The sequence below is a fragment of the Homo sapiens genome, chromosome 17 (genome assembly GCF_000001405.40).
Source record: "Homo sapiens chromosome 17, GRCh38.p14 Primary Assembly".
Classification (NCBI taxonomy): domain Eukaryota; kingdom Metazoa; phylum Chordata; class Mammalia; order Primates; family Hominidae; genus Homo; species Homo sapiens.
The window spans coordinates 59,640,165-59,663,764 of NC_000017.11; the positions used below are offsets into that span (position 1 = coordinate 59,640,165).

The 23,600-nt window shown below is 38.4% G+C and overlaps 1 protein-coding gene across 2 annotated transcripts in view, besides 1 other annotated feature; it reads left to right on the forward strand.

Moving 5' to 3' along the window:
• CLTC (clathrin heavy chain) overlaps positions 1-23,600 on the forward strand; it is a 77,062-nt gene that overhangs the window by 20,270 nt on the left and 33,192 nt on the right. The window contains exons 2-8 of one of the 2 annotated variants that reach the window (NM_001288653.2): positions 4,112-4,331; positions 7,234-7,502; positions 8,076-8,237; positions 11,039-11,152; positions 15,690-15,863; positions 20,227-20,424; positions 21,279-21,479. In NM_001288653.2, coding sequence (NP_001275582.1) covers positions 4,112-4,331; positions 7,234-7,502; positions 8,076-8,237; positions 11,039-11,152; positions 15,690-15,863; positions 20,227-20,424; positions 21,279-21,479 — 1,338 coding nt within the window. The remainder of the gene's footprint in view (positions 1-4,111; positions 4,332-7,233; positions 7,503-8,075; positions 8,238-11,038; positions 11,153-15,689; positions 15,864-20,226; positions 20,425-21,278; positions 21,480-23,600) is intronic. The other variant, NM_004859.4, reaches the window with a different exon arrangement.
• Positions 2,098-2,177: a silencer, noted in NCBI's record as "silent region_8782". NCBI's record gives its function as "represses an Ori minimal core promoter by ATAC-STARR-seq in GM12878 lymphoblastoid cells {active_cell/tissue: GM12878}" and the evidence as "EXISTENCE:reporter gene assay evidence [ECO:0000049][PMID:35858748]".

Genomic DNA, 23,600 nt, shown 5'->3' on the forward strand with positions numbered 1-23,600 from the left:
CTGTAAGGGTATACCTAAACCAGACTTGCAGTTAATAAGAGTGACTTGTCCTATTATTGTGTGCTTTGGCATATTTCTCTTTTGAGTATATAACAGGAAAATATGGGAAGAATTGCTGAGTGTTCTAGACATTCTCACTCAAAAGGAACATCAGTAAGGAAAACAATCTTACCTACCTTATTTGAAGAGGTGGAAGCAAATTTAACCTTCTCTTAGCCAATACGGTCACTTGAAGTTCTTTTTTTTTTTTTTGCCAAAGTCTTGCTCTGTCACTCAGGCTGGAGTGCAGTAGGGCGGTCTTGGCTCACTGCAACCTCCGCCTCCCGGGTACAAGCGATTCTCCTGCCTCAGCCTCTGGAGTAGCTGGGACTACAGGCGTGTGCCACCATGGGCCCGGCTAATATTTTGTATTTTTAGTAGAAACGGGGTTTCACTGTGTTAGCCAGGATGATCTCGATCTCCTGACCTCGTGATCCACGCCCCCTTGGCCTCCCAAAGTGCTGGGATTACAGGCATGAGCCACCACGCCCAGCCGAAGTTCCTGTCTTTTTTTCCTCACAATTAGGAAGGCTATATAGGAAGGAGCAGGGTCCTGTTCAGTTGTGTAAATGACCACCACTTAAGTGTGCTTTTTTAATATGTTTAAACATGTGCCATTATTAAGAATTTGACACGGCTGGACGCCGTGGCTCATGCCTGTATTCCCAGCACTTTGGGAGGCCAAGGCGGACGGAACATGAGGTCAAGAGATCGAGACCATTCTGGCCAACGTGGTCAAACCCCATCTGTACTAAAAATACAAAAATTAGCTGGACGTGGTGGTGCACGCCTGTAGTCCCAGCTACTTGGGAGGCTGAGGCAGGAGAATTGCTTGAACTGGGGAGGTAGAGGTTGCAGTAAGCCGAGATCATGCCACTGCATTCCAGCCTGGTGACAGAGCGAGACTCGGTTTCAAAAAAAAAAACAAAAAACTTGCAACTTCAGAATTATGTTCATGTTTGCTGGTGTTTTAACTCAAACTGGGACATAAATCCTAGGGAAGTAACCCATATCACTGTTGTTCTAATAACTGCATTCGTAGTAGAATAACACTACATTCACTAGTAGAGGCTGAGGGAGAGAGGAAAAGAAGGAATTACAGGTTACAGGCTACTTTTCTGTTCTTGTCTAGACTGAGGCTGACTGACTTGTCTAGACTGAGGCTGAGGCAGGTGGACCATGAGGTCAGGAGATCGAGACCATCCTGGCCAACATGGTGAAACTCCATTTCTACTAAAATACAAAAAATTAGCCGGGCATGTTGGCGCACTCCTGTAGTCCCAGCTACTCGGGAGGCTGAGGCAGGAGAATCACTTGAACCTAGGAGGCAGAGGTTGTAGTGAGCTGAGATCGAGCCACTGTACTCCAGCCTGGCTGGCGACAGAGCAAGACTCCATCTCAAAAAAAAAAAAAAAAAAAAAAAAGAGTTTGTCACTTGCCTCCTGTTTAATTTTGCATTTTTTAAATAAAGTATATCTATTCCACATGGACTATTTTGATTAGTACCAATACATTCCTGAAGGAGATCAAAGATATATATGCATAGCTCTCTTGGTAGCATATGTTTAATGAGAAAGTAATATAAGGATTACATAGATTAGGGTTGCAGGCAGTTCTGTCACTTTAAAGCCAGATCTTTTATTTACCTTATTTTTTAAAGTTTTTGCAGAGATGGGGTCTCATTATGTTGCCCAGGCTGGTATCAAACTCCTGGGCTCAAGTGATCCTCTCATCTCAGCCTCCCAAAGTGCTGGGATTATAGGTGTGAACCAAGGTGCCAGGCCAAATCTTTGTTGTTTTTTTTTTTTTTTTTTTTTTTTACAAGTAAAATACCCTGAGGCTGAAGGTCATTGCTAACTGATGCAGCGTGTTTTTCTTACTGCTTTTTTTCTGGGGATCTAACAAGGAATTGGAAACACAGGTTTTTGACTTTCCTTTTTCCTCCTCATTGTTTTCTGATAGTGTTTTCTTAAAGTCATCTTCCACCTGCCTCTGAAGTTGAGAAGTAGGAAGGAATCTGTTAGAATCACTTGGGGTTCAGTTAGTAGTGTCTGTGGTTTGCTTCCTTTTGTGGTTTTGAATTTAATTTCACTATTTGACTAACACTATTTTTACTCCGACTTCCTCAAACACTGTGGGACTTAAGCTGTGACAGGTGAAACTCAGTGCCTTAGATGAAGGCTTGGTAGAGACTTAGAAACATAGAATTCTTACAGGGTAGCTTAGGATTCTTACAGCATAACTTACTGCTTTTAGGTATATAGCTCTATGAACTTTATGAGCCCACTGGAATGTTTTCTCCAATTATCGGAAAGGATAATTATCAATTAAACTTAAGGAGTCTAAGGACCCTCTACTCAGAAAAATAGATGTGAGATCCTGTCTCAAAAGAAAAGTTAAAGTCAGGAAGAAGTTAAAATTAATGGTTTATAAGGCTTTACTATAACTAAATACATTATAAGTTACATACTTTAAAGCTAGTGTATTTGCCTTGCATTACAGCATATACTTGAGCTTGTAAAGCAGGTTAATCTACTTTATTACGATGTTTGTATTAATGGTTAGAGAGTTGTTTGACTTCTTGCCCCTATATTCAGTGACTGAGTTACTGTAACTACACTTTATAACTGAGTTATAACATTAATAACTTAATACCAGTAGTAATTGAGATAGAAGAGTGAAGAGAAAGTAAAATGTAGCCTTGTAGTCTTATGTTATATCTTATTCAGAGCCTGGCCTGGTTATGTTTAAGCACTATTAGCAGAAGAGTTTCAGAAGAGAATTTAAATAAAATACAGTTAACTTGGCTGGTTTAGTCCATAAGATAATAGTGACAGTGGTGGTGTTTGTGGAGGAAAACTGTATTGCTAGAGGACAAGGGTGACAGAAAGACTTGATTTTTTTTTTTCCATGCTTTTTCTTTTCTGGGGTGTGTGTGTGTGTGTGTGTGTGTGTGTGTGTGTGTATTTTGTACCATGCGAATTTATTATATTACCTTTGGAGGAAAGGGGGATAAAACTAGTCTGGCCAAGGCTAATAAAATAAAGCCTCCATGTAGCTTCTTTTAGTAGGACTTAATCTGTTACAACATAGTTAGTCACCCAGAGTATTAATAACCCACTATGGTAGAGATTTCTTCCTAGTAACAAGTGACTTTTGTTCTTACATACTTAATTGGTTTGCAAAGACCTACCATCTTTAGATCCACTATATTTGTTTAGCAGATACTTTAGTATTTTCTGAGTACACAAAGCAAATCTAATTCCATTATTTTCCTTGTTAAAATCCTTAAGTAGCTCCCTTCGCCTGTAGAATAAACTCAGGATTCTTACTGAGGTATGTTTAGCTTGTTGGTCTGGCCCTTGCTCATTTCTCTAACCTTAATTGTGTACTCCCTCAATCCTATAGTGTTACAAAAGTACTTGTAGTTCCCTTAGCCAACCACACTTTTACGTCTCTGTGCTTTACCACATGCTCTTTCTGTTGAGAATTCTCTCGCCTGCCTCCTTTGAACACATTGCTTTAGCTGTGTAGCCTTTGACAAGATCCCTCTTACATATCTTTGTTTTGGCACTTTTTGCACAGAATTAGAACTTGTTTGCTCTTGCTATTCAAGTTCCTTTATTTAGATCAAGAATTCTGTGACATTTTAGATCTTTTTATGCTTGTAACTTAATTTTTCAGCTTCTTGAAGCGTGAACAAATAACTGCTACATGTTAAGGGGGGTGAGAGAGGACTGGTCCAATAGTTCCAAGGTCTTAAAATAAATCAAGAAACTCAATTACCTCAAATCCCTTGAACCATGCATGCTACCTTGCAGATGTTGCTCTTTCCTTTAACTTCATCTGTATTTGTTCTGCCTCTTATTTGAAACAGTTGAATGGCATGTTTGTTTGAAGAAGAGAAGGTCCAATACTTGGCTATTAATAGTCTCTCTTTAATTAACATAATGTAGATGTTATTGTGACCTTGAAGCATTAATGTTAAGTGAGGATTTGTGTTGATGAGCATATATGAATGTCAAGTCTTTGGAATCCACTTGGTAACATGGTTTCTTATTATTTTTTCTAGCTCCAGAACCTGGGTATCAACCCAGCAAACATTGGCTTCAGTACCCTGACTATGGAGTCTGACAAATTCATCTGCATTAGAGAAAAAGTAGGAGAGCAGGCCCAGGTGGTAATCATTGATATGAATGACCCAAGTAATCCAATTCGAAGACCAATTTCAGCAGACAGCGCCATCATGAATCCAGCTAGCAAAGTAATTGCACTGAAAGGTATAAAAGAATGTGGGTTTTCCTTAAAACTCTTCCTATGTTTTTGTTTTTTTTTGTTTTTTTTTTGTTTGTTTGTTTGTTTTTGAGACGGAGTTTTACTCTTGTCACCCAGGCTGGAGTGCAATGGCACGATCTTGGCTCACTGCAATCTCCACCCCCCAGGTTCAAGCGATTCTCTTGCCTCAGCCTCCCGAGTTGCTGGAATTACAGGTGCCTGCCACCACAACCAGCTAGTTTTTTTGTATTTTTAGTAGAGATGGGGTTTCACTATGTTGGCCAGGCTGGTCTCGAACTCCTAACCTCATGATCCGCCTGCCTCGGCCTCCCAGAGTGCTGAGATTACAGGCGTGAGCCACCACGCCCAGCCAGCTCTTCCTATGTATTTATGCAAGTACAATAACTAGGGTTTACCTTTTTAAGTATATTGATTAAGTTTGGTTAAAGAAAATAGATCTGCTAATACCGAACTTGATTTAAACCACTTTAATTACTTTTACTTGGAATGTATCTGTGGAATGTCTTAACATATATCTACTTAGAATAATTTTAAGTTTTAGAATAAATGCATTTAAATTTTGTATCTGGTATAAAACTGTGCTAAACATATCTCTCTACAGAGGAAAGAAATTAGTGATTCATATTCTGGAATAGAACATACTTTACTAATATTAGCACCTAAACATTGCAGAATTTTGTTATGATGATAAACTTGCCTTTGATTCTGTGCTTTTTTTTTTATACTTCGGGCTTGTGTTTCACTTAGATTATTGGGTTCTAGAAATGGCTTGAATTTACAGTAATTGTTTAAAGTGTGTTTGTATTTAGGTGGATATTAAAGCTCTTGAGTGAAGGGTATTTGAGTTTATTCAGACTAACTTTTTAATTGTCCCAACAAGGGAACTGTGCAGCTTAAGTCTAAACAGAGTTCAAAGACTCTTAGACTGTCACGGAAGCTGTATTCCTTTGAACTTTAGAATGAGACTAATTGACCCTTTAAAACAGATGTTTTTAAGAGGGCTCGGTGACAAACTGACTCTTAAAAAGGCATTCGATTGCCTGCTTTGTTTTTCATTTTGATAGAAGAAAGAAGAGTTCAAGTTCGCAGTAATTTGTTGATAAATTTGTGACTAAGTTATTAGAGGTGCTGAACTTTGACTTTTCTTTACATGATTTAAACTTTGTATATAGTAATAATACTAGTTGGAGAGTGAATAGGGTTGGGTAGGACTAGGATATTCAAACAAATAAGTCACTATCACATATCTAAGATAGAAACTCATCTCATCTCGAGGAAAAATGGTCCAGCTTTCACATAGGACCAGATGTTTTGTGACAGTAAGTGTTTTACTTCTATTACTTCTATTTAGGGTATTAAGCTTCCTTCAGACTCTTTAAAGAATTTAAATTCAGGTCCTTAGCAATTCCCATGCCTCTCTATTAAAAGGCCATCATTTTAATTTTGCCAAAATTCTTTTCTATTTTTAATGTTATTGTTATCTTATCACATTTCTTAATGCTTTCTTATGTGTGCAGATGGTGAGTTATCTTAAATTAGATTGTATTAGTTATTGTCCTGTTCTATAAAAAGAATAAATTGAAAAGATTTTCGGAGCATTGTACAATAACATCATAGATTTGTCCCTATATGTCTGCACTATGGAGTCAAGCTGTCATCCCTTGTCCCCCTCCCCAAGACCACCCCACTTATGTATATATTCCAACCCCTAATAATCTGGGAGTTGAGGAAGGCAGCAAAGGAAAGTAAGTCATTCCAAAATACTGCTTCCCTCTGAAGCCAGTTTTGAACCCCTTGGCTTCTTTTTATAAACAGGACTGTAACTCTCACAATTTTTCAAGTCTGGTTGTGGTTTACATACTGTGTGGGATGGGAATAACATTCTTCATTTTATGAAAGAAATTTTTGCACATGTGTTACGGAGGGTTGTAGTACAAAGCTGTATGTTTTGCCCCCCTTCTTTGTCCCCCCAGCACCCGAATCTTAAAATTTTGGTCCTTCAGGAGCCAGATTCTCTGTGTCTCAGGAATGGTGTTTTTCTTAGTCTTTAAAGACTAATCTTGATAGCCTAGTGATAGTTGTAGGCTTTGGCCTCTATTAATTTATACCAAATCACATTTTGAACTGATGGATTTCAAACTACAAGTACAAGCCTTTGCATCTGACTCAGTGGACTCTTAACACTCAAGGCAAATTTCATCCTTTTTTAACTAAATGCTTGCTTTCTTAATTGGATGAAGCTTGCACTTTGTTCTTATCTCCAGTATATTAACAGCATCTGAAACTATCCTCTTCCTTTGTCTCCCTCTCCTTTCCTCCAGCACCTCTACCTTCCCTTTGTTATCTTAAGCCGGTTAAATGTAGCAGGCACTTCTCTTACGTGCTAGTGGCAACAAGACAGAATTGAAGCAGATCCTCTTTTTAAAAAGCAGTTTCCACAAGATTTATTTAGATGAGAGATGACTGCCTTTAAAAAAATACATTTTCTTTCCCCCATGTGTTTGTTATCAGAGTTGCTTTGTCTTGTGTACATGCAACTAAGTTTATGTGTAAAGTAAACATACTTAATTACAAGTATGAAGGTGACAGCTTTGTTTTCAATTATTGTTAAGAAAACTATTCATTAGGCTTATTTTCAGTTGGGATTTAGAATTCCATGGAAGTCATACTATCTGTTTAAAGTGTGTTTATTAGAGGTAATGTAGTTTTTGCTTAAAACGTAGATGTAGATTGTTTGCTTAGTCTTAGCTGTTACCTCTTTAATGGTTGCTGCTGTATCGATGCAACTCGTCTCGTAATAGAACTATTTTTGTTTGGAAGTGACAGAGCTAGTCTAGGTAGGTATTCATTCTAAACTTTACTCTTTTAATGATTTATAATTCTTGATTTTGTTTTTAGCTGGGAAAACTCTTCAGATTTTTAACATTGAAATGAAAAGTAAAATGAAGGCTCATACCATGACTGATGATGTCACCTTTTGGAAATGGATCTCTTTGAATACGGTTGCTCTTGTTACGGATAATGCAGTTTATCACTGGAGTATGGAAGGAGAGTCTCAGCCAGTGAAAATGTTTGATCGCCATTCTAGCCTTGCAGGGTGCCAGATTATCAATTACCGTACAGATGCAAAACAAAAGTGGTTACTTCTGACTGGTATATCTGCACAGGTAACATTTTAACTATTTTTTTATGAAGAAGAGGTTTAGAACACGGTTGTGCCCAGAATGCAGTTTGATTTTGAAATTAGGTCTTTCTATACTCAATCCTGTTGAATTTCACTTATTTTGGAAGACTTTTTTTTTCCTTCCTCCCATCCCTTCTCTTCTCCTTCCTCCCTCCCTTCTCTTCTTCCTCGCTCCCTTGCTATACTGACATATAATTTCAGAATGCTCTTACCAAGCGTTTTTAGCTCTTCTGTGGAGATTGAGTAGAAATTGAGTTTCTGTAAGAATGATTTGGGATTTATTATGGAGTATTTACTGCAGAATGAATGCTTCTATACCTTTTTGTTTAAGACGTATATGAGGCATATTTTAAACATTTATGTTAGGCTTTAACAAGATAATGTTTGGGGCTGATTTTAAGTTAAGAAGTATCAAATCTACAGTGAGAGATGAAGTGACAAATAATTATAAATCCTGCTAAAGATGACAAAGCATTCTAATTATTTCATTACTTGATGAATCTGAGAGTTTTTGATTTATGGGTCTTCAAACGTTATTCTCTTTGATCCTTTATAGCAAAATCGTGTGGTGGGAGCTATGCAGCTATATTCTGTAGATAGGAAAGTGTCTCAGCCCATTGAAGGACATGCAGCTAGCTTTGCACAGTTTAAGATGGAAGGAAATGCAGAAGAATCAACGTTATTTTGTTTTGCAGTTCGGGGCCAAGCTGGAGGGAAGGTAAGTTTTGGCTTTGGTAATTATTTTAATGAGAACTTGTATTTGGCTTTCTGCTATGAATTAGTCATCTAATTTCAAAATAGCCTTCTCCCTTCCTAAGTAATTTTAGTATTCACATTTGTGGTGACTTAATTTGTTCAAATTTTGCATCTAGTGATACTTGTCTAAAATGAATAATGTTCTTTCACAACTCGTTCTGTTGGCTGTTTATATTCTTTGATTGCTAAAGTGCACATTTATATGCTGTACATCTAGAGAGTTTGATTTAGTAGGTGTTGCCTATAATTTTTTTTGTTTATTTGTTGCTTTTTGAGACAGGGTGTCACTCTGTTGCCCAGGCTGGAGTGCAGTGGCGCAGTCATGGGCTCACTGCAGCCTCGACCTTCTGGGCTCAAGTGATCCCTCTGTCTCAGCCTCCCGAGTAGCTGGGACTACAGGCATGTGCCACCATGCCTGGCTAAATTTTGTATTTTTGTAGAGACAGGGTCTCACTATACTGCCCAGGCTGGTCTCAAACCTCTGGGTCCAAGTGATCCTCCCGCCTTGGTCTCCCAATATAATCTGCATTTTAAATACCTTATATGGCTTGATATAGAGGCAATGTAGACTACAGGTGAATAACACTGACTTAAGTTAGAGGTTTTCAACCATGACTACACATTGGAATCGCCTGGACAGATTGTAGTACTTTGTATATTAGACTTAGTTGCAGGTAATAGAAACAAGGTCTGGTTGATTAGAGCAATGGTCTGTTTAGTGAAGGATATTGGATAGTTTACAACAGCTGGGGAGGCTGTAAAACCAAGACTGGGAAATGAGGAGAAATAATGGAAAATGAGCAGTGGTCAGGGTCCCAGCCAACAACTATTCCACAGAACTCTGAGGACACTTCTGGATCCATGATTGCATTTCTGGATGCTTGGAAATTCGATTTGACTACTATTTCCACTACCAGAGTAGCATCTCTGAAATCCTAATACTTTTGTGTTCCTAGCTCCCTGTTCAAAGTCTAGTTTTAGGCAAGATCAGATGCCCACATCTTATGTCTGAGAGGTTTGGAAATAATTATTTGGTGTTTGGTGCTCCTAAAACAGAAGGCTGGTTCTACCACCAACAAAACTTGTAAAGAGTATCTTCCCTCTTGTTGTCCCATCAGGAAGAGGGTTTAGATTCTAGGCAGACCAAAAAATTTGAACTTCACTTTTGTTAGGACATGTGTCTCTCTCTTTGTAAGTAAGCAGTTTTTAAAAATTGAGATAGAGATTGCTTAAGATATCATCTGTAGCCTGTCAGGAGAGAGGAAACAGTAAGTAATGACATACAATTCTGCTTAAAATTTCACGATAGCCCCTGAATTGAGGATAATGCTACCAACACCTCAATGTGACAGTGGTAGAAAGCACTGATATTTAGATCTGAATAGATGAAATTTAAACAGAAAAAAACACATAGTTTTAGAAATTAGATATTATCCTTAAAACATAAGGCAGGACATTTATTGAAAAGTTCTACTAGAAAAAAGTTTCAATGTCATTTTGAACAGTATCTGGAAACCTGTTTATAGGTTATTGAGCCTATTATTTCATACATGGTGCTATCCTGTCTGCCATGGCTTTTGAAGGAAGATACCAAGTTTTTCAGTATGGCTAGTCATCCTAATGAAGGATGATGAGACCCTATAACATTCATATGGTATGTGTCTTGGAAACTGAATTTTTTTTTGTCTGAGTTCATTTCTGGCATGACTAAGGAAAATATATAGTACTTTTTCATTGAGATTATTTACTTTTCTCTTGCCTGGCTTATGTGCAGCATTGGATATTTTAAACCAAAATGTTCTCATTTAGTTTATGGGATGTTTGTGATTAGAGAGACAACTCAAATTAGGTATATACATTCATTCTGTTTTAGTGTATATGTATAGGTAGAGAAGAATTTAACAACTTAGGTTTCTATTTGGAAATACTAAATTAAAATTTAAAGCTAGGAGAAAAGTACCATTGTAGGTAATGTATTACCCTTCTATACCATTTATTTCAGGTAGATTATTTGAGGTATGATTATTTCAGATATTCAGATGACTTTTTTTTTTTTTTTTTTTTTTGAGATGGAGTCTTGCTCTGTTGCCCAGGCTGGAATGCAGTGGCACGATCCCGGTTCCCTGCAACCTCCACCTCCTGGGTTCAAGCGATTCTCCTGCCTCAGCCTCCCGAGTATCAGCTGACTTTTAAAAATGCATTTATCTTAAAATAATACAGATTTATAGGAAGCTGTAAAGACAGTACAGAACAGTCCCCTGTGTTCTTTACCCAGTTTCTCCCAATGGCTACATCTTACACAGCTGTAGTACAGTAGAAAAACCAGGAAATTGACATTGGTACAATTGTATAATTCTGTGTCATTTTATCATGAGTAGATAACTATTTTATCACCACAGTGATTTCCCTTATGACTGTAGCGTCACACCCACTCCCCCTCTCTCACACCATCCCTAGCTCCTGGCAACCACTAATTTATTCTCCATCTCTATAATTTTGTCACTTTAGAAATGTTACATAAATGGAATCATACAGTATGTGACCTTTTAAGATTGGCTTCTTTTTTTTCACTCACCATAATGTTCATGAAAGTTTGTTCCTTTTTATTACCAAGTATTCCATGGTATGGATGTAACCAAAACCATTTAACATTGATCTTCTGTAGAACATGTTGGTTGTTTCCATTTGGGGGCTACAAATAAAGCTGCTGTGATCAACTGCTAATGTATAGGTTTATATACATTTTGATTTTCTTTTGAACAGTTACATATTATTGAAGTTGGCACACCACCTACAGGGAACCAGCCCTTTCCAAAGAAGGCAGTGGATGTCTTCTTTCCTCCAGAAGCACAAAATGATTTTCCTGTTGCAATGCAGGTATTTTAAGCAAAATAAATGACTTTTTAAAAATCTCTCCTCTTAAAAGAAATTAACCCAAAGACTATTCATGGTAGATATAATTTAAGTGATGCTTAAAAGAATACTTTTTTAAAGTTTATTAGTGAAGCTTTGTAAAATAATACCTTGGCTTTTCATGTACAGGACTACCTTAGGCCTATTATGAGGTTTGGCTCCAGACCACCACAATAAAGTAAATACCACAACAAAGTGAGTCATAAGAATTCTTTGGTTTCCCAGTGCAGATCAAAGTTACACTTAACACTATGCTGTAGTCTACTGTAAAGTGTGAAATAGCATTGTCTAGAAAAACAGTATACATACTGTAATTTAAAAATACTTTATTGCTAAAAAATGTTAATGATTATTTGAGCCTTTAGTGAGTTGTAATCTTTTTGCTTGTGGAAAGTCTTTTCTCAATGTCGATGGCTGCTGAATAATCAGAGTGGTGGTTGCTGAAGGTTGAGGTGGCTGTGGCAGTTTCGTAAAATAAGACAGCAAAGAAGTTTGCTGCATCAATTGACTCTTTCACAAAAGATTTCTCTGTGCATTGCTGTTTGATAGCATTTTACCCACAGTAGATCTTTCAGAATTGGAGTCAGTTCTTTCAAACCCTGCCACTGCTTTATTAGCTAAGTTTCTGTAATAATCTAAATCCTTTGTTGTCATTCAGCAATGTTCACAGCACCTTTACCAGCAGTAGATTTTATCTCAAGAAACCTCTTTTCTTTGCCCATCCTTAAGAAGCAGCTCCTTTACTAGGAGATTACAGTAATTCAGTCACATTTTTAGGCTCTATTTCTAATTCTGGTTTTCTTGCTATTTCTACCACATCTCCACTTACTTGCTCCACTCAAGTCTTGAACTCCTCAGTCATCCATGAAGGTTGGAATCAGCCTCTTCCAAACTCCTTTTAATGTTGATATTTTGACTTCCTCCCATGAATCATCAGTGTTCTTAGTGGCATCTAGAATGATGAATCCTTTCCAGATTGACCGTTACTTAAATTTACTGTGGTGAATCCTTTCCAGATTCACTTAAATTTACTTTGCCCAGATCCATCAGATGAATCACTGTTCAGGGCAGCTGTGGTCTTATGAAATAATATTTCTTAAATAAGAAGACTTGTAAGTCAAAATTACTTCTTTGGTCCATAGGCTTCAGAGTGGATGCTGTCTTCGCAGACATGAAAGCAATATTAATCTCCTTGTATATCTCCATTAGAGCTCTTGGGTGACTATGTGCATTGTCGATGAGCAGTAACATTTTGAAAGGAATCTTTTTTTTTCTGAGCAGTAGGTCTCAACAGTAGGCATAAAAAGATTTAGTAAACCATGCTGTAAACAGATGTGCTGTCATCAGGGCTTTGCTGTTCCATTTCTATAGCATAGGCAAAGTAGATTTAGCATAATTCTTGAAGGTCCTAGGATTTTTGGAATAGCAGATGAGCATTGGCTTCACCTTAAAGTCACCAGCATCATTAGTTCCTAATAAGAGAGTCAGCCTGTCCATTAAAGCCAGGCATTGACTTCTCTGTAGAGAAAATCTGTTGTTTAGTGTAGCCACCTTCAATGATCTTAGCTAGATCTTCCATATAACTTGCTGCAGTTTCTACATCAGTACTTGGTTTTTCACCTTGCACTTTTATGTTATAGAGATGGTTTATTTGCTTAAACCTCATGAATCAACTTATGCTACCTTCAAATTTTTCTTCTGTTGCTTTCTCACCTCTCTGAGCCTTCACAGAATTGAGGAGAGTTAGGGCCTTAAACTAGATTAGGCTTTGGCTTAAGAGAATGTTGTAGCTGGTTGGATCTTTTATTTTATTTATTTGTTTATTTATTTATTTATTTATTTTATTTATTTTTTTTTTTGAGACAGAGTCTCTCTCTGTCGCCCAGGCTGGAGTGCAGTGGTGCGATCTCGGCTCACTGCAAGCTCCGCCTCCTGGGTTCACGCCATTCTCCTGCCTCAGCCTCCCGAGTAGCTGGGACTACAGGCACCCACCACCACCCTCGGCTAATTTTTTGTATTTTTAGTAGAGATGGGGTTTCACGGTGTTAGCCAGGATGGTCTCGATCTCCTGACCTCGTGATCCACCCACCTCGGCCTCCCAAAGTGGTGGGATTACAGGCATGAGCCACCACGCCCGGCCTCCTCTCCCTCTCCTTCTGCCTCTCCCTCTCCTCCTCTCTCCCCCTCTTTCTTTCCCTTTCCCTCTCCCTCTTTAAAGAGATAGGTTCTCCCTCTGTTGCCCAGGCTGGAAGGCAGTGCTGTGATCATAGCTCACTGCAGCCTTGGAACTCCTGGGCTCAACTGATCCTCTTGCCTCAGCCTCCAGAGTAGCTAAGAGTAGGTAGGACTACAGGTACATGCCAGTACGCCTGGCTACTTAAAAAATATTTTAGAGACAATGTCTCACTGTGTTGCCCTGGCTGGTCTTTTTTTTTTTTTTGACACTGAGTCTCTCTATTGCCCAGACTGAAGTGCAGTGGCGCAATCTCAGCTCACTGCAATCTCTGCCTCCTGGATTCAAGCGATTCTCATGCCTCAGCCTCCCGAGTAGCTGGGATTACAGGCACCCGCCACCACACCTGGCTAATTTTTGTATTTTTAGTAGAGTTGGGGTTTCGCCATGTTGGTCAGGCTGGTCTTGAACTCCTGACCTCAAATGATCTGCCCACCTTGGCCTCCCAAAGTGCTGGGATCACAGGCGTGAGCCACCATGCCCAGCCCAGGCTGGTCTTAAACTCCTGGCCTTAAGTGATCCTTCTGCCTCAGCCTCCTCTGTGGCTGGGATACAGACACATACCACTGCACCTGGCTAGTGTATAACATTTTTATTTGTATTTTTATTTGAGACGGTCTCGCTCTGTCACCCAGGCTGGAGTGCAGTGGCGCAATCTCAGCTCACTGCACCCTCCACGTCTCGGGTTCAAGTGATTATTGTGCCTCAGCCTCCCATGTAGCTGGGATTACAGGCGCGCACCACCCCACCTGGGTAATTTTTTTGTATTTTTAGTAGAGACAGGGCTTCACCGTGTTGGTCAGGCTGGTCTCGAACTCCTGACCTCAAGTGATCCACCTGCCTCAGCCTCCCAAAGTGCTGAGATTACAGGCATGAGCCACTGCACCCAGCTGTGTATAACATTTTTCTTTTAGAGACGGAATCTCACTCTGTCGCCCAGGCTGGAGTGCAGTGGCACCATCTCGGCTCACTGCAACCTCCGCCTCCGGGGTCAAGCAATTCTCCTGCCTCAGCCTCCCCAGTAGCTGGGACTACAGGTGCACACTGCCATGCCTGGCTAATTTCTTCCGTATTTAGTAGAGACAGGGTTTCACTGTTTTGCCCAGGGTGGTCTCGAACTCCTGAGCTCAGGCAATCCACCCACCTCGGCCTCCTAAAGTGCTAGGATTACAGGCATTAGCCACTGCACTTGGCCTATAACATTTTAAAAGAGAAAAAAACTGCTCATTTAGATAGTTACATAAATTCAAAAGTAGAATCGTTTTATTTCTCTTTGGCCTGCAAAACATTATCTCAATATGGCAAGTACCTAGAGTTTGACTTTGTCTGTGGTAGGTTTCTTAGATGTGAGAAAATGAGACTGGGATTACATTTGTAAGCCACTGCACCAGTGCACTTTCTGCATATCAGCAAGAAAGCTGTTAGGTTTTCTTATCATTCATGTGTTCACTGGAGTAGCACTTTAATTTCCTTCAAGAATTTTCCTTTGTATTCACAACTTGGCTAGGTCAAAAGGCCCACCATTCAGCCTATCTTGGCCTTGGACATGTCTTTTTCACTAAACTTAAAATTACTTCTAGCTTTCGATTTAAAAAGAGAGGTAGAACACATAGAGGCAATTGTAGTTATTATATTGGCCTAATATTGTTGTGTCTCAGGTAATAGGGAGGCCTGAGGAAAGGGAAAGAAACGGGAGAACAGCTGGTTGGTGGAGCAGTCAGAACACACACAATATTTATCAGTTCAGTTTGCTGTCTTATGTGGGTGCAATTCATCACACCCCAAAATAATAGTTACATCAAAGATGACTGGCCACAGATCAACATGACAGATACAATAATGAAAAGGTTTGAAATATTGTGAGAATTAATGAAAACGTGACACAGAGACACTGAAGAGAGCACATGCTGTTGGAAAATAGTGCCAATAGGCTTGCTCGATGCAGGGTTGCCATAAACCTTCCATTCGTAAAGATTCATCTGCACTGCAAAGTGCAGTAAAATGAGGTATCCCTGTAATACGTAAACTGTGCTATCTAAGTTTTGAATTGTCTTTCCTCTTATCAGTTTCATGTTATATAAGAGCTTGGGATATCCATATTTAAATGTGCTGTAGAAATGAAGGAAACTTTAAATATTAGCTTATAATTTTTCAAATAACCCTCTTGTTCTGGAATTTTACCATCTCTAAAATGGAATTAGACTGAATGTTTTTATTTTCTGTTTGTAGATTCATTATTTTACTAAAGTGTTGATTTTCTTTCTGTAGATCAGTGAAAAGCATGATGTGGTGTTCTTGATAACCAAGTATGGTTATATCCACCTCTATGATCTTGAGACTGGTACCTGCATCTACATGAATAGAATCAGTGGAGAAACAATTTTTGTTACTGCACCTCATGAAGCCACAGCTGGAATAATTGGAGTAAACAGAAAGGGACAAGTAAGGAAACCTTGAAACTTAAGCAATAAAATAAGATAACCTGATGAGTTGGGAACAATCCTGTCCTTTTGAGAAATTACTCCCCAAGATTAAAAAATAGAAAATAAACATATTACTGTTAGTTTTTTTCCAAAAAGTAAATAGTAACTTTGGATATTAGAAAATAATATATATCAAAGCACGATGTAAGCTGATAAAAAAGAAAATAATATATACCTAAAAATAGAGATGTGTATGAATACAAAGTCTCTCTTTAATCCTGTCTCAGAGAAACTGGTTTATAGCCATCTAGGACTGTATAGATGCATTACTGTCAAAAGAAGTGATTCCCCATGCAAAGAAACAATTTAGGGTCATATTTGACAGACTATTTTTTTAAGGAATTTTCTGTTATCTCCAAGGCAGAGCAATTATCAACTACAGGGAAAAGAATTCTACCTACATCCCTTTTCCTAGCTCCTTAATTAAGCATTACTATTACATGTTAGAAGGTGATATGTTTCAGTACCTCTTGTGGGATGCCTGGAAAGCTAATCAGTTTGGTAGGAAAAATATTATCCGTTCTAAATTTGTCATTTTTGAAAAACCTCTTCATACCATCTAGCAAGTGATTCTTTATCTGTCATCTTATTATTTTAATTTTTTTTTTTTTTTTTTTTTTCTTGAGATGGAGTCTTGCTCTGTCACCCAGGTTAGAGTGCAGTGGCATGATCTCAGCTCACTACAACCTCCACTTCCCGGGTTTAAGCAATTCTCTTGCCTCATCCTCCCAAGTAGCTGCAATTACAGATGTGAGTCACTGCACCCGGCTAATTTCTGTATTTTTAGTAGAGGCGGGCTTTCACCATTTTGGCCAGGCTGGTCTCAAACTCCTGACCTTGTGATCCACCCGCCCCAGCCTCCCAAAGTGCTGGGATTACAGGCGTGAGTCACGGCGCACAGCCTATTTTAATATTAATAAGAATATTTTACCAGGAGCTATGTTAATTTTCTGAAAAATGGCTAAACATTTTAAAAATACTGTTACTGGTCTTGCCTTTTACTCATTTTCTTCCAAATTAGTATTTTTCCCAGATAATAAGCAAAGGAAGTAGATAGATTTTGTTTCTCCTTCATTCAGTTAATTTTTGAAAAATGTTATGTATATGAAGAGACAATTCCTCTAGGGAAAGGGAGTGCATCCCTACCTACCCATGCCCCACCTTAACTCCAGACCTGGTTAGGTGCTTTTGCTCTGTACTCCTAGAACTTAGGGCTTTCTCCTCATAACATTTACCATACTTATTAAAATTGCTCGCTAAGCTGTTGCAGTCACTATTCATCATTAGAAAAAGGGATTGTCTTTAGTAAATTATATTTCTAGCACCAGTCAGTGTCTGGGACAAAAGCAGTTTTAAAAATTCAGTAGCTTTCAGATATTCAGTTATGAGTGTCTTGCTTAGAAAAATCAAGAATAAGGCTAGGCTCAGTGGCTCATACCTGTAATCCCAGCACTTTGGGAGGCCGATGCGGGCAGATTGCCTGAGCTCAGGAGTTCAAGACCAGCCTGGCCAACATGGTGAAACCCTGTCTCTACTAAAAATACAAAAAGTTAGCCGGCTGTGGTGGTGCATGCCTGTAATGCTAGCTACTCGGGAGGCTGAGGCAAAAGAATCACTTGAACCTGGGAGGCGGAGGTTTCTATGAGCTGAGATCGCGCCACTGTACTCTAGCCTGGATGACAGAGCAAGACTCTGTCTCAAAAAAAAAAAAAAAAAGAAGGAAAATCAAGAATATATTGGTCTTTTGGTGAACTAGATTAGTGATAATTTAATAATCATGAAGTTGTGAAGCCAGGGGCTTTTTTTTTTAAACTCTTAATTAATTAAAAAAATAAAAAAAAAGACAGGGGCTGGGCACAGTGTCTCACGCCTGTAATCCCAGTACTTTGAGAGGCTGAGGTGGGTGGATCACCTGGGGTCAGGAGTTTGAGACCAGCCTGACCAATATGGTGAAACCTCGTCTCTACTAAAAATACGAAAAAAAATTAGCTGGGTGTGGTGGCAGGTGCCTGTCGTCCTAGCTACTTGGGAGGCTGAGACAGGAGAATTGCTTGAACCCATGAGGCAGAGGTTGCTGTGAGCCAATATTGTGCCATTGCACTCCAGCCTGGGTAACAGAGCGAGACTCCGTCTCAAAAAAAAAAAGAGAGAGAGCGCCAGGGTCTTGCTATGTTGCCTAGGCTGGTCTTGAACTCCTGGGCTCAAGCGATCCTCCTGCCTTGGCCTCCCAAAGTGCTAGGATTACAGGCATGAGCCACCACGCCTCGCCACTTTTTGTTTCTGCTGTTGTGCTGTTTTAAGATAGCGCTTAACCTTAAATAATTTCATGACACATTCTTGGTGTTCATAACTCTAATTCTGGGAACTTGTTGATTGTTACTTTCCCTTCCTCCCAAATTTTATGTGCCAGCTACTTTGAGTAAAGAGATGAGTATTTACAGTAACCTTAGGGCTTTCTTCTACTCTTTGCTAAAGTCTACCAACTTGGCATATTCCCTGAAGGAATGAGTAAGTGGCTTCTATGGGTTGAAAAAGCAAAATCAATTAAAGTGATATTATAGTCAACATCTGACTTAAATTCTTAATTTGATAGAACTGAGTACTTTAGAAGACACTGGAGCCTTTTCTGTTTCCTGTAGCAGATCTTACTAAGGACTGGTTGCTAGAAATCTGCTAGAACAGTCTTTAAGTATGATAACGATAAAACTGTGGATTCAGTATGTGGGGAAACCTAAGGTAAGATTTGAGTTAAGGTTGGGGCTCAGGAATGCAAATAACTATAAAGAAAGTAATTATTACTTCCTTTAAATAAGCCTTGAGGATGGAGGTCGGACCTATAGAAGTAAAATCTTGGAGGTTGAAATTTCTTCATTTTCCCTGAAAGGAGTAGTAGAATTGGCAGGGCAGACTGTTACCTATCTATCTATTTGGTTCACTGAGTTCTCAAGTATTTTTCAATTCTTACTGATTTGGGGACAGAAATTTCCTATATTCATTTATTCAACAAATTAAATACGTTTTATGCTATACTAATTGCATATTGCTAGTAATACAGTTAAACAAAGACAAACCCCCTTTCCTCATGTGAACAGTAACTGAGAAAAAATTATACAATTATATTAGGTTGAGAAGTGCTGTTGGGGTAATATGAGTAGTTTATAAGCTAGGGCATATGACTAGTTCTGCACTGGGGAATGGGATGGATGGGTAGAGAAGGACTCCCTTTCTCTATGGCAGTTGACAGTAGTTCAGCTTTTGGGGCAAGCCAGAAAATATTCTGTGGCATTGAGAGGTTTGAGGGTAGGTAATTTTCCAAACAAGCAATTAGAAATTGGCCTTTACTGATATTATTATTATTTTATTTTTATTTTTTATTTTTAATTAATTTTTTTTTTTTTTTGAGACAGAGTCTCCCTCTGTTGCCCAGGCTGGAGTGCAGTCGTGCCATCTTGGCTTACTGAAACCTCTGCCTCCTGGGTTCAAGCGATTCTCCTGCTTCATCCTCCCTAGTGACTACAGGCGCGTGCCACCATGCCCGGCTAATTTTTATATTTTTTTTTTAGTAGAGGTGGGGTTTCACCATGTTGGTCAGGCTGGTCTTGAACTCCTGACCTCATGATCCACCTGCCTTGGCCTCCCAAAGTGCTGGGATTACAGGCGTGAGCCACTGCACCCGGCCTATTTTTTCAAGCACCTACCATGTTCCTTGTATTATGTTAGCTGCTTGAGGATTCAGTGGTCCCTCCCTTCATTGAGTATATAATCTGCTCTCTAGGAATGAAAATGTAATTAACGAAAATTACCAAAAAATTCTTGTAAAGAAAAATCCTAAAATTAAAAGGAGTATACCTTAAACAACTTGCAAGTGAACCCTAAATGTCATTTAGATATCATAGCTTCTTCAGTGTCATTTTCTGTAGGTTATCAAGATTGAAGTCCTCAAGAAGTTTTAAATTATGTGGAGTTGTCTTTCAGAGCTCAATTAAGTGGGAATGTTAATTTTTGATACTGACTGTGTTAAGAATGAATAGATGGTATCAAAGCAGTTAGTTTGGACAATGAAGTAAGTTATTTAGATTATAGAATAGCCATATTTTAGGAACCACATAATGGCCTAACACCCTATGACATTTGTTTTCAAATCTCCTTAATTTTTTTTCTCCTTGTCTTCCTTCCTTTCATTATTTTTTAATGGCAGCAAGAAAACAGCTGTCACAATTTCATTACCTTTGTGACTCAGTATTAACCTGTTCTAAACAGATTTGGTATCATTTGTATCCAAATGAACACATTGCAGCTACATTTTATTCTTTAAATTGCAGGTTCTGTCAGTGTGTGTGGAAGAAGAAAACATAATTCCTTACATCACCAATGTTCTACAAAATCCTGATTTGGCTCTGAGAATGGCTGTACGTAATAACTTAGCCGGTGCTGAAGAACTCTTTGCCCGGAAATTTAATGCTCTTTTTGCCCAGGGAAATTACTCGGAGGCAGCAAAGGTGGCTGCTAATGCACCAAAGGTAAAGAGTTATGAAAATGAAGTTGTCATGACATTAATCCATTGTTAATATTCTGTTTCTTATATTACTAGAAAAGGAACCAGCTTCCTACAGATAAACTGTTTTTAGATTACATTTGGGTTACATTTTCCTTTAGTAGAATTCCTTGTCAATGCCTCTAGATTTGGTTAATTTTCTCTGGATTTGATTAGTTTTTTAAAACCCAGATTGTTAGAAGGATATGTGGGTCTAGCAAGCTTTTGATTTACATAGATGTAGTAATGTTTAGTCATTTAGGTGTTATACTGTTTGACCTCATAAATGATAGTTACTGATTTTATTTCCATAACTTGGACATGAAATACATACTGTCCAATTTTATAGTGGGTAGAGCTGTCAAAATTAGGCTGAATTTATTCTTATCACTTTTGATGTTAGTTTATGGTGGACTGAATTAACACCTTACATTCCTGACCAATATTCATTATGAAATTTGTACTTAATTTAATATGAACTTGGGATAATACTTAGCTATAACTGTTTTATGATTATAACTATTCTCTTACACACTGACATTGTAATTTAAGTTGATGTATTTTTGATTCTGGATAATTTTTTTTTTTTTCCAAATTCTGGATAATCTTATAACATTGAACCAGGGGTATGAAAGACAGTGACTAAATATTTACTCCAGATGGTAAAGATTTGAAACTTCCTAACTTGATGTTAATAGATGGATTCATTCCTTTAAGATTGACCTAAGAGATTGATCTCTACAGGGTGTTTAGTGTGATGTTTGGATCACTTTCGAAGAGCGTTTAACATTTCTCCTTCTTACACTTTCGAAGAGCGTTTAACATTTCTCCTTCTTAAAGGGAATTCTTCGTACTCCAGACACTATCCGTCGGTTCCAGAGTGTCCCAGCCCAGCCAGGTCAAACTTCTCCTCTACTTCAGTACTTTGGTATCCTTTTGGACCAGGGACAGCTCAACAAATACGAATCCTTAGAGCTTTGTAGGCCTGTACTTCAGCAAGGGCGAAAACAGCTTTTGGAGAAATGGTTAAAAGAAGATAAGGTACGTTAAATTATGTTGACATAATCTTGCTTTGGTTGCATTAAATATGATATTGGCAAGTTAAAATCATTTAGGCTGCACCACAATGTCTCCATTACTGCTGGTAGAAACAGAACAAAAACACACATTGCATAAGATGGATTCACTTATTTCCTTTTGAAAAAATATATATTTTTTCGCCGGGCATGGTGGCTCAGGCCTGTAATCCCAGCACTTTGGGAGGCCATGGTGGGTGGATCACCTGAGGTCAGGAGTTTGAGACCAGCCTGACCAACATGGAGAAACCCCGTCTCTACTAAAAATACAAAAATCAGCTGGGCGTGGTGGCAGGTGCCTGTAATCCCAGCTACTTGGGAGGCTGAGGCAGGAGAATCACTTGAACCCGGGAGGTAGAGGTTGCAGTGAGTTGAGATTGCATCACTGCACTCCAGCCTGGGTGATAGAACGAGACTCGGTCTTAAAAAAAAAAAAAAAGTTGGATCTTAGTAAGACAGGATGGCTATCTAATTAGCAATGAGATACTGTTTCCCAGAGATTTCACAGAATGTTAGTTGGTGTTACATGGAAAAATATTTAACTTGGTTTCTTGAAATTTATTTAAATATGAACCTTTTCTAAATGTTAACTAGCTTTCTTTACTGTAGGTCTTCTCCATGCCTTTTATATTCACTCAGTACTTATTTCTCTTTACAGAGAGCATATAATGGTAGTATGTTTTCCTGAGCACATTATTCCTTATGTGGAATAGTGACTGAGAAACAGCCAAAGGATGTTGTTTGTTTCTAGGATAACAAACAAGTTTTAGCTGTCCATTAGTGTTAATTCCTTTCACACCACCACATAAAAAAGCCTTTCTCCTCAAAGTTGTAGTATGGAATTGCCATTGTCAAGAACTGAAGTAGTATTGTTTAAAGCACTCTGAATAGTGAATAACATTTAATGTTATTATTCTTTCAGCGTTAGTATATGTTAGGACTGTTTTTATATTATTAATTCTAAGTCCTTGTTTCTTGACCCAGTTTCTGGCAATCTTGTAAGATACCAGAGAATACTACATCAGATTTGGGATACTTGGACAGGAGTCTCTGATGAAGAATAGCCACACTAGCGAGTATTTGAGGTCCATCCTAATTGATTAAGATAAGGCAGGGCTGAGTTTGGTGGCTTACGCCTGTAATCCCACTACTTTGGGAGGCTGAGGCAAAAGGATCACTTGATGCAAAGAGTTTGAGACCAGCCTAGGCAACACAGCGAGACCTTATTAAATAAATACACAATATTTTTTAAAAAGATAAGGGAGGGTGAGAACAGCCAAGGTAACTGAGTTGACCTACGTAACAGGGTGAAAGCTTTTTAGGTATCATTATCCTTTTCTGTGAACAGTCATATGGGACCATTTGTGGTATTAATAAAAGAGACATTAATCAACTATTCATTAGCATGTTCAGTTAAGATTATCGACTCTGATACAACTTTTTATTTTTGGCACTAAATATCATTTATAAGAGCTAGTCCCCAAAGTAGAAAATCTACTATAGTATGTAAACCAGAACTCTTAGGAAATGAATTTCCAGATTGGGCAGCTGAATGAGTAAGGCAGACTGAATAACACAGAAGACAGTATCTGCCTGTATACTACCTAAAAATTCTTAAGAGTGTCCTTCCTGCCCTATAAGCTTAAATCCAAGTCAAGAAGATAGTGGTGCTTAGATCCCTCAGACATATATAGGTTACACTGTGAGTTTAATAACTGTCCTTATGGTAAACCTCATCTGGCTCCTTCATTATCAAATTTTCAGTTGATAACATTACATTAAAAGTTGCTTTTTGTTTTTGAAAAATTGGGGCCATGTGATGTGAGTCTGATATCTGAATATTCTTAGTAGCTAGAAGTACAAGAGGTACAAGATTGTACTTTGAAGTACTTAAATCCTTAACAAGGTAGTTGATAGTATCTATAAGATTGCAGTCTTGGTGAGCTTTTTATCGTTAAACAGGATTTGTGGAGAATTCTACTGAGACATTGCTGTGAACACAAGATTAAGAGTCTACCAACCACAACCCCTGCATATTTATAATATATTCTGTGAAACTAAGTACCTTTCATACTAGTTATTACTT